Raw genomic sequence first — 11,789 nt, 5'->3', positions numbered from 1 at the left:
TCTCTCCCCAGATCCCTACCTCCACCACACCCCACCTCTGAGGAGGAAGAAAACTATGAGGAACAGTTGTGAGCTACACATGAAGATCCAGAAAGACACTTGTCCAGGGTGACCTCTCAGAGGGCAAGAGAAAACTAAACCATTTCCAGTTCTTGAGATTCCAGGTATGTTTTAAAATTGAAAAAGGAAATACTAAGAAGGTCAAACGCTTTACTTAACAATTAAAATTGTTTAAGAAATGTCTTCTTCCAATACCATGAGTTTATCCACCAGTTAGTGGCTACTGAAGATAATATTAAAAGTCTAAATACCAGTCCTTTCATGGTGTTGAGGCTGGGTTCTAAGGATTTCCTCAGAGTTCCCCTGAAACCACTTCCAGAGGCCAAGATGCTCTTACTTGTCTTTCTGTGTCATAGTGGGAAAGGCAGAGAAAGCAGTTTACTAGAAAGCAATGAGCTGTTTCCTCTGCCTCTTTTCATGCTCCAGAATGAGCAGAGGTGGATACTGATATACTCCAGATGTGGAAGGGGAAGCCATATACACCCCATGCCATTTCCAAAAGCGTTTTGTTATCTATAAGATACAAATCTAGAGGTGTTTTCATTTGGTTTAAAGAATAGGAGAGTTGCTCAATGTTCAACCTCTCATCTCTACTCTAGATGAAGGTATTTTACCTTCTTTCTTCTTCCCTCAGATCTGAAGCAGGGATCAGTGCAACAAATTTAGGTATATCTGACAGAGAGAAACCCATAGTAATGTGATAGCTTCAATCTCAAGGTAATAAAATCTTTATAGTAGCCCTCACTATATATTTGGCTTGCACAAATTCTTCAACTTCTCATGTTTTCTTCAATTTTCAGTTCCTATTAAATACACTATGTAGTTAAAAGTTGAAATACCCCTGGGAAAGATGGTCGCCAGGGTCATCTTAACTTGGAAAATTAAGGGGAATTTGTGGAGTCATTCAGTAAAGTTCATACCCAGTGTGATAATGATCACAGCCAACATGTAAAGAATAAATCCAATTAGCATATGGGTACTTAGAGTTCATTCATTTAATATGAAGTGACATTTTGATATCTAAAGAATTGAGCCATTAGTGCTCTCCGGTTACAACCTGTCTGACAGATTCTGGGCATGAACTTCACTAATTGAGTTTTCAAGGACTTAGGTGAGGATTAGAAATGGGGATGTTTTCTGTTCGCTCTTTCTTCTGTAGAAATACTTCTGGTGGTCCTTTCAAATGGTTCCTTTTCTGAGAAATCTCTAAGAAAACATGTTCAACAGTTTAGACACAAGGAAACTTGTTCCAGTTTTTCTTGTCCTTTTGTTTCCTTTTAAAAAAAAATCACCATATTCAACCGTGATCAAAGTACAATTGGTTAGAACATTTTGGAAGTGCACCAATCAAATGAGAAAATGGTATTGATATAAACCTGTAATTGTACATCTTGGTAGGGCCTCTTCAGTATAATATGGAGGTATTAAGGGGGAATGGCTTTTATTTGTTATTTTGAGAGTTTCAAAGACTATTTGCTGAATAAATGTAGTGAACAAATGGACACGAGCGGAATGAAAACCTGCACTCCGTGACTGTCAACACTCTGCCTCGATGGATGTACTTGCTCTGCTCTTGTTATAGAACCCTCATTTAGTGCTCTTCATGCTCTGCCAGAATGTCAGGTCAAAATTATTTCTTCTCCTCATTCTGCCATCTTATACATATTTCTACAACAAATATGAAAGCACATTACAGGCTAAAAGCACTCTAAAATATAATATGTTATTAGAAATTGGGCCATAATATTGTCCAAGAATATCAGGCCTGGAAATTCTCAGTTCCTTGAGAACTTTCTCTAGAGAGAAAATTCCTATTTTCTGCCATAGGTAACTAATGAAAAAAATTCACTACCAAATGCTTTGGATGAAAAATGTTAAAAAAAATACACTCTCACTTTGAAAAAGTGGGGAAAATGCAGGTGGGAGAAGGAAACCAAACACAAAGTTTTGGTTTTTGTTGATGTGAATACAGGAATACCAAGTAGTTGCATTTTTGACTGCTACAACTTTTATCATCAAAACAATTCCAAAACCACTATGTTGTCTCATGCCTATATGTGAAAAAAATAAAGAAAAACATGAGCTAAATGTTGAAGCAAAAGCAAGCACAAAGGTGTTCTAATCCGAAGACTGCCACCAATTCATGGCCTAAACTAAAACTTGTCCCTTCACATTTTTTTTTTAGCCTTTCCTTTTATGAATAATACAGAATCACACTTGTTGGGTCAGTCACCAGATCTGTGGAGTAAGGTCCTTATAAATTAGTCTTATGCCAAGCTGTCTTTAAAAAAAAAATCGAGTTATTCATCTTTAAAAATTAAGGGGTGTGTATACATGTTAAATGGTTGCCAGAAGCCAAGCCCTTCAGCAACCCCTATGTTTCCATACCATCCCACCCCACAAAACAAAGATTTACCATTAGCTTCTTTTCCCTTCCCCTGTACACTTTTACTTTAGACTTGCACTAGCATAAGGTGGAAAGACAGTGGGCTTTGAGGCCAAGATTTCTCAACAAAAGTTCCCATTCTGCCCCTTCACAACACGTGTGCTCTCCAGGAAATTGCCTTAGCCTCATAGTCCTTGATTGTAAAATAGGGATAATAATATCCATACCTCAAAGATGTTTGTAAGCTATATATATATAATACACACACGCACACACACATATGTAAAACACCAAGAGCCAGGATCTGCCACATAATTTTGTGGGGCCCAGTGAAAAAAGCACAGAGTGCCTTGTTCAAAAGCTACTGAGAATGTCAAGATCATGACAGATAATAAAAACAAAGGCAGGGCCCTTCTGAGAGTAAGGCCTGTGCCGCTGCATGGGTCACACACTTATGAAGCTGTCCCTGCCTGGAAGTATTTGTAAGTATTCAATAAATTATTGGTATTATTAAAGCAAAAGAGCTCACTCTGATATGAACTTCTAACTTTTCAGTGTTTTCCCAGAGAGAGATGGTTTCTCCAGTGAGGACACAGCCCTCAGAAAGTGGAAAAATAGTGGAGCAACTGCAGGAAAGCCACTGACTGTTTCTTGGCCTGAATTTCCTCATATTCACAACAGAAGTTGACTCAGAGAAGTGGTTTTCTAACTAAGGTTTTAAACTGTGCCCTGAAGAATCCCTGGAGTACCCTCAAGAATGGGAAAGTGCAGATGCAGAGGGGAGAGGTCAACCAGGTCATTTTTACTTGGAACAGAGTGACTATGTCTGATTCCTTTCACATAACAGTAAGTGAAAGCTACTGTATTTGCTGAGCCTGCAGTCTTTCCAATTTTAAGTTCTAGGCTCTATTTCTTTTACTTTATTTTATCTTACTACAACCTGGAAATTAGGATGGATATTATCATCTTCATTTGTTAAAGAACATAAGAGAAAGTCAACTTCTAAATATGTCACTAAACAAACCCTGTCTTCCCCATTCAACACCAGTTTCCTTCTCAGGCTGCCTCTTTCCCCTGTGGCCTCCAGAAAAAATTTCCTTTTCTAGATCCTCAAGAAATCCAGCCCCCTCTAAGGTGACTACAATGCTACACTACAGTGGACAAGGAACGATGACTGTAATAAAACAGGATGAACTTGAGGTCCATTCAATATGATAAGCTATTTTACTCAATTCCTACCCAAATTGAGCCTCATTTATATCCAACATACCTCTCCCAAACCAAGAATTCCCCTCCACAAACTACTCTGGAACCACACTCCCTGGGTGTGAATACCCACTTTACTATGTTCTCACTGTATGTGACCTGGTGCAAAAAACTCTCTGGCCAGGGTTTTCTCACAGGATTATGAGTAAGATTATGAATGAATGGATAAGTGTGAAGCACCTGTAACAGTGCCAGGAACATAGTAAGTGTTTATAAGAGTTTATTCAATAGATATATTCAATAAACACATCTTTAATTTACCTCCTATTTTACGTGCCCCTTTCACCCCCATCTTTTAAATGGTTGACCAAAAAGGATTCTGCAAGTGGAGGGGAGGACTGGAATATGCAGCAGGGACAAGAGGCATGCAGAGAGCCTGCTGTCACTCCCTAATGACATGCCTACCGTCACAGCCATGATTTCTGTCTGGAAGCGCCACTTATAGAAGCATTCCAAATTTAGTTGTTCCCCTTCCCAAAGTTCTCTCATCCACTTCAAGTACTGCACACACATGTGTGAGGTAAAAATAAGTTACAGAGGTCACCCTGAACTTACTAATCAGCCAGATGCACAGGCCACCAGCTCTTCCTCGATCACCCCATGGCCCCCCCTCTCCTCTCTAAAGCTGAGACCTAGGCTTTGCAATACCAGGGGAGCCCTTATAAACTAAAGCAATGAGGAGATTTTAAGAATCTGTTAATGCAGAATTGGAAACAGAGAGGAAGTTGTAAAAAGTACAACAGGCTGATTTTGGGAGCAGGAGCTCGAGGTTCTGCTGTTACATCTCCCCTGCCATCCCACCCATAAAAAGAGAGCACGTTTCCAAGTGCTGGAGACATTTCACTCTACTTGCTTATACTGCCAACAATTCCTACCAAAAGAGATTCATTTGGGCTTAGCTCTGGCTTTTAAAACAGGATATTCACTCAGTAATATTAACTGAAGTGAAGTAATTAATATTACTTGACTGACTATTTATTCTGGGCTCTGAGAACACACTGGTTGCCAAAGTCCATGCCTTCATGTAGCTCCTATTTAGGGAATTAAGGGGCATTGATCACTCACACGTTAGTGCATGTCATCAAAGCCATTTATATTATATATATCCTAACTTTCTCTGGTGCAGAAGGAACAGGCAACACCTTGGTGGATCTGGTGCCTTGAAGAGAATCAAGATCTATCCTGCCAGGAGCGGTGGTTCACGCCTGTAATCCCAGCACTTTGGGAGGCCAAGATGGATGGATAACTTGAGGTCAGGAGCTCAAGACCAGCCTGGCCAACATGGTGAAACCCCGTCTCTACTAAAAATACAAAAATTAGCCAGCTGTAGTGGTGTGCATCTGTAGTCCCAGCTACTGGGAGGCTGAGGCAGGAGAATTGCAGGAACCTGGGAAGTGGAGGTTGCAGTGAGCTGAGATCATGCTACTGCACTCCAGCCTGGGCAACAGAGAGAGAGACTCTGTCCAAAAAAAAAAAAAAAAGAAAAGATCTATCCTAACCCCCACATTAAAGAGGAGGGTCACAGTGGGAACCCAGAGTGGCAAGAAAACAGTGGGAGGAGAGACATGGGGAAAAAGGCAAAAGAGGACCCAAGACAAACTTCTCCTATTTTTGCATTTTTAACATAAAGCCAGCTCTACTCTTTCCACACTATATGATCCTTGTATTTGTTTGCCAGGGCTGCCATAACGAATTACTACAGGCTGAGTGGCTTAAACAGAAATTTATTTTCTCACAGTTCTGGAGGCTGGAAGTCCATGACCAAGGTATCAGCAAAGATGGTTTCTTCTGAGGACCTCTTTCTTTGGCTTGTAGAAGACCATCTTCCATTGCCTTCAGGTGGTCTTCCCTCTGTGTGTGGCTATATCTTAATCTCCTCTTCTTATAAGGCCTCATTTTACCTTAATTATCTCTTTAGAGGCCCTATCTCAAAATGCAGACACATTCTGAAGTACTAAGGTTAGGACTTTGTATGGTTTGGTTCTGTATCCCCATCCAAATCTCATCTTGTAGCTCCCAGAATTCCCATGTGTTGTGGGAGGCACCCAGTGGAGATAACTGAATGATGGGGGCAGGTCTTTCCATGCTGTTCTATGATAGTGAATAAGTCTCATATGATCTGATGGTTTTAAAAATGGAAGTTTCCCTGCACAAGCTCTCTTTTTGCCTGCTGCCATCCATGTAAGATGTGACTTGCTCATCCTTGCCTTCCACCATGATTGTGAGATGGAAGGCAAGCCACATGGAACTGTGAATGTCTTAAACCTCTTTCTTTTGTGAATTGCCCAGCCTCAGGTATGTCTTTATTAGCAGCATGAAAATGGACTAATACAGTAAATGAGTACCAGTAGAGTGGGCTGAAAAGATACTTGAAAATGTGGAAGAGACTTTTGAACTGGGTAACAGGCAGAGGTTGGAACAGTTTGGAGGGCTCAGAAGAACACAGGAAAAAATGTGAGAAAGTTTGGAACTCCCTAGAGACTTGTCAAATGGTTTTGACCAAAATGCTGATAATGATATGGACAATGAAATCCAGGCTGAGGTGGTCTCAGATAGAGATGAGAAACTTGTTGGGAACTGGAGCAAAGGTGACTCTTGTTATGTTTTACCAAAGAGACTGGCAGCATTTTGCCCTTGCCCTAGAGATTTGTGAAACCTTGAACTTGAGAGAGATGATTTAGGGTATCTGGCAGAAGAAATTTCTAAGCAGCAAAGCATTAAAGATGTGAGTTGGGTGCTGTTAAAGGCATTCAGTTTTATAAAGGAAGCAGAGCATAAAAGTTCAGAAAATTTTCAGCCTGACAATGCGATAGAAAAGATTTCTCCTTTTTCTGAGGAGAAATTCAAGCCAGCTGCAGAAATTTGCATAAGTAACATGGGGCCGAATGTTAATCCCCAAGGCAATGGGGAAGATGTCTCCAGGGCGTATCAGAGGTCTTCACAGCAGCCCCTTCCATCACAGGCCTAGAGGCCTAGGAGGAAAAAGTGGTTTCGTGGGCCAGGCCCAGGGTCCACTTGCTGTGTGGAGTGTAGGGATTTGGTGCCCTGCCTCTGAGCTACTCCAGCCATGGCTGAAAGGGGCCAATGTAGAGCTCAGGCCATGGCTTCAGAGGGTGCAAGCCCAAGCCTTGGCAGCTTTCACATGGTTTTGAGCCTGCGGGTGCACAGAACTCAAGAACTGAGGTCTGGGAACCCCACCTAGATTTCATAGGATGTATGGAAATGCCTGGATTCCCAGGCAGAAGTTTGCTGCAGGGGCAGGGCTCTCATGGAGAACCTCTGCTAGGGTAGTGTGGAAGGGAAATGTGGGGTGGGAGCTCCCACACAGAGTCCCTACTGGGGTACCTTCTAGTGGAGCTGTGAGAAGAGGGCCACCATCCTCCAGACCCCGGAATGGTAGATCCACCAACAGCTTGCACCATTTGCCTGAAAAGCTGCAGACACTCAATGCCAGCCTATGAAAATAGCCAGGAGGCAAAGCCACAGGGATGGAGCTTCCCAAGACCATGGGAACCCCCCTCTTGCATCAGTGTGACCGGGATGCAAGACATGGAGTCAAAGGAGATCATCTTGGAGCTTTAAAATTTGACTGCCCTGCTGAATTTCAGAATTGTATGGGGCCTGCAGCCCTTTTGTTTTGGCCAATTTCTCCCATTTGGAATGGCTGTATTTACCCAATGCCTGTAACTCCATTGTATCTAGGAAGTAACTAACTTGCTTTTGATTTTACAGGCTCATAGGCGGAAGGGACTTGCCTTGTCTCAGATGAAACTTTGGACTGTGGACTTTTGGGTTAATGTTGGAATGAGGTAAGACTCTGGGGGACTGTTGAGAAAGCATGATTGGTTTTGAAATGTGAAGACATGAGATTTGGGAGGGGCCGGGGTGGAATGATAATGGTTTCACTCTGTGGCCCTACCCAAATCTCATCTTTTAGCTCCCATAATTCCCATGTGTTGTGGTAGGGACTCAGCAGAGATAACTGAATCATGGGGGCAGGTCTTTCCTGTGCTGTTCTTGTGATAGTGAATAAGTCTCAAAAGATCTGAGGGTTTTATAAACGGGAGTTTCCCTGCACAAACTCTCTTTTTGCCTGCTGCCATCCACGTAAGACGTGACTTGTTCCTCCTTGGCTTCCGCCATGATTGTGAGGACTCCTCCACAGCCACTTGGAATTATATGTCCATTAAAACCTCTTTTTCTTCCCAGTCTCGGGTAAGTCTTTATCAGCAGCATGAAAATGGACTAATACAGGACTTCAGCACATGAATTTGGGGCTCAGAGGGACACAATAAAGCCCAGAATAATCCTCTGCTCCCGTGACCAGAACCAAGATAACATAATAGTGAGATTTCACCAACCAGTAATTAAATAGATCCAGCCAGTTTTTATGAACTATGTGGGGAAAATATGCTCAAATTTCCAGATAAACAACTTAAAAATAAACTTTTAGAGCTGTCAATGTAATAGGCCATCTGGAAATAGTCTTTTTTTCCTACAATGAGGCTTTCACTCTTTGAATGAAACCTAACCAACCAGGATCTAGCTACTGTACTTGAGCATAGAATTTCTTCCCTTGGAAAAGTTTCAACATTTTTAAATACAAAATAGAGATTTATCCAGTCAACCGGACAAGTTTTAAGCATTTATTTATTTACTGATATTACATTGCTTTTATTATTGTGATTTTTAAAAATGTTTCCCAGTGATGGGGCCAGTCCTGGGAAGAGTGTGATGATCTTATATCAGGTTTCTCCTGCAGAACAGAGACTGAAGTATTAAATTCATTCTTTCTGGTTTGACAGATTAAATAATATATATAAACTCACTTAATTCCCCACAGTGCCCCCATGAGTTAAGCACCATTATTACCCCCATTTTACAGATGAGGAAATCAAGGCATAGGAATTCTAACTTGCCCAAGGTCCAACAGCTACTAAATAGAACATGGATCTAAACTCAGATCATATGGCTCTAAGGTATAAAGTACTACTAATGGTACTTTATACTGAATTAAGTAATCAATTGCCAGTATATAAACAGGTTCTATTAAAGTTCTTGAAAACAATCTGTTTTAATAGGTTAAGCATTGACTATACAATAATTAATTACACATCTTTTCTTAATGAAAGGTCAGCTCTCAACTCAGAAAATTTTCACCAAAAAAGAGGAGTTTCTACAACATAGTATATATTAGAACACTCTATATTATTAAGATTCTATTATAGATAAAAGTCAGAAAAATTATAATTTTAGAACTTGGTAAGCTAAAATTCACCTAAAATCCAAAAATATATTTAATATAATGTAGAGGGGAAAAAAAGATCCAAAATATCCAAAATCCAAAATACATTTAATATAATGTAGAGGGAATAAAAAGTATGTTGCCTGTGACTTTAATTCAGTTTGCCTCAGGGGAAAGCTATGCTGCTTCAAACAATCAAAATATTTAAATTCAATCATTTGCCAACATTTTCATTTTTTTGAAATTTATCCGAAATCCATTGACCTCACCTTTCATTTTTTCCCTAATACAAGAGATGTTGTGTGGCCTAGAGTTCTTTGAAAATATATAGATAATATAGAGATGTACTACCACATGCTTTCCTAATTTCATTTTTACAGTTGCAAAAAAAAAAAAAAAAAAAAAAAACTTGGTTATTCAAAAATAATTTTACCTACTCTTTCAACACTGATGTTCTGTTGCTAACTGCACGGTGATTTCCAGGTAGTCTGTTGTAATACCCAAGAATGGCCATCAAGACTTGGTGGAAGTGGGAAGGGGAGGGGGGTGAGCTTCATAAACTGATGAGTTGTGATCCAGAGCTCATTCTCATTAAGTACAACATAATATAGAATCTATTAAAACAAACTTCTGAAATTGCTGCTAAGTAATAACCTTAACAGAAATAACCAAAAATATATGCTTTGCAAACAGAATTTCTCTAAATAGAACACTTAAATTGGTCCTCAGGGGAGTGAGAGGATTTTTTAATTTTGTCTTCATAACTATGTTCTTTCACCATTCACTGGCTTTGTATCTTCAGATGTTAATTTCTTTTTCTGCTAGAAAAGTTAATAAGTACCTCTACTTACAGCAGATGGTTCCTTATAAAAAATTTAAAATAAAATGTTGGAGAGCATCTGGCCAGATATATCAGATCTGGTAGTTCAGATTTTGAATACCTGTTATTTTTCTTCAGATAAAAACAATTTTAATTCTAGTAACTAAATCTTCTGCTCTTCTGAAATCTTAATAAGGTTTTTATGAGACTAGATATTAAATATAATCAGTTGTCATAGTGGTATGAATACTGTTTTTCTTTTTCAATGTAAGCAACATGCCTTAGTCATAGCAGCTGTAAAAATAGAGATTCACTTCAATTTATACTTAGCACTTTCTATCTTAGCTCTAGAAGCCCTGGTTAACTCCTTTCCATTACTGGAATTTTATTTTTTCATGGCGCCTGCACAGTTTTGGCTCTACCAGTTTTAAGCTGGTACTTGCAGTGTTTTTCCATTTTGGAATACTTTAACATATCTTGAATTCTTCTCAATGCATATCTAATTGTTCTGGTTTGAAAGTGGCTCCTTTCTTTTGGCTGTTCCTGAATCAAGACAGGAATGTGAGCACAGACTTGGGTTCAGAATTTTCCTGTGGTGAACCAGTTTTGCCAAACAAAAGGTAACTTTGAATGAAAATCACACATACCTTACTGTGATCCTTGGTGGACACCCAGCTACACAAAAAGGAAAGGTTAAAGCCTGCTGAGTTTTTTTCCTTCTCAAACCATCACTCATAATAAAGTATCTTTCTGCTTTTTGCAGCTTCTACTCTGCTCACAGACCACCTGGGTTATATAGAAAAGAAAGAGCCTTTGCTAGCTTTGTGAGGATTTGCAGGAGTTACTCTGAAGTCTTCAAATACCTTTTAACCCAGTCTCTATCGATGCATCTGGGGTGGCAAAAGTGCCAAATTTTGCTTCACAGAAAAAGGCTCTTTATGGAGCATTTGTCCTGTGAGGTCATTGAAGCCCATGTCTCCCTAGGACCACGGAAAAGCTCAAAGAACGGCACCACTCCCATTTATGAAATGCCTATGATATGGTTTGGCTCTGTGTCCACACCCAAATCTCATCTTGTAGCTCCCATAATTTCCATGTGTTGTAGGAGGGACCTGGTGCAAGATGACTGAATCATGGGGGTGGGTCTTTCCCATGCTGTTCGCGTCTGTGATAGTGACTGGGTCTCATGAGAGCTGTTGGTTTTAAAAACAGGAGTTTCTCTGCACAAGCTCTCTTTGCCTACTGCCATCCACATAAGATGTGACTTGCTCCTCCTTGCCTTCCACCACGATTGTGAGGCCTCCTCAGCCATGTGGAACTGTAAGTCCAATAAACCTCTTTCTTTTGTAAATTGCCCTGTCTCGGGTATGTCTTTATCAGCAGCATGAAAATGGACTAATACAGCCTACCACATGCCGGTCCTGACCACAATCCAGCCTACAGGACAGAGACCTGAGTTGTGCGTAGCTTAAATAACACACAGAAAATCACTTCCTAAGAAAGCAGCAAAGTGGGATTTGAACTCAGGTCTACCTAAAAGTCTCTTTTTTCCACTACTCTACACTTCTCACCACCAAAACACTGAGGGAATATGAAGAGTCTATAGCTCCAGAACCACCAGCCAGGGAAGGTCTTACCTCCAAGCCACCCACACGTCAAGATCTCAAAATTCACTTCAAGTTTGTTTTTTTCCTTTTTTTTTTTTTTTTTTTTTGAGACAGTCTCACTATGTTTCCCAGGTTGGTCTCAAACTTCTGGACTCAACCGATCCTCCTATCTTAGCCTCCTAAGTAGCTGGGATTACAGGCACATACTACTATACCCAGTCTCAAAACTGAGGCATTTTTTATTTTTAAAAATATATTCATTTGGTCAAATGTGGTGGTGTGCATCTGCAGTATGAGCTACTCAGGAGGCTGAGGCAGGAAGATCACTTGCATCCAGGAGCTCCGGGCTGTAGGGCACTATGACCTTGCCTGTGAATAGCCACAGCACTCCAGCCTGGGCAACCT

General features: G+C 40.4%; 1 protein-coding gene across 2 annotated transcripts in view, besides 1 other annotated feature; it reads right to left on the bottom strand.

Annotated features, from left to right (window-relative positions):
* Positions 1-11,789, bottom strand: part of FRAS1 (Fraser extracellular matrix complex subunit 1) — a 486,947-nt gene that overhangs the window by 440,800 nt on the left and 34,358 nt on the right. The window lies entirely within an intron of this gene.
* Positions 10,008-10,752: an enhancer, noted in NCBI's record as "OCT4-NANOG-H3K27ac-H3K4me1 hESC enhancer chr4:79013872-79014616 (GRCh37/hg19 assembly coordinates)". NCBI's record gives its function as "activates a minimal SCP1, AML or CMV promoter by ChIP-STARR-seq in naive and primed H9 embryonic stem cells {active_cell/tissue: H9 hESC(naive and primed)}" and the evidence as "EXISTENCE:reporter gene assay evidence [ECO:0000049][PMID:30033119]".

This window comes from Homo sapiens, chromosome 4 (genome assembly GCF_000001405.40).
Source record: "Homo sapiens chromosome 4, GRCh38.p14 Primary Assembly".
NCBI classification, from domain to species: Eukaryota; Metazoa; Chordata; class Mammalia; order Primates; family Hominidae; genus Homo; species Homo sapiens.
This window is presented reverse-complemented; position numbering and strand designations above follow the sequence as displayed.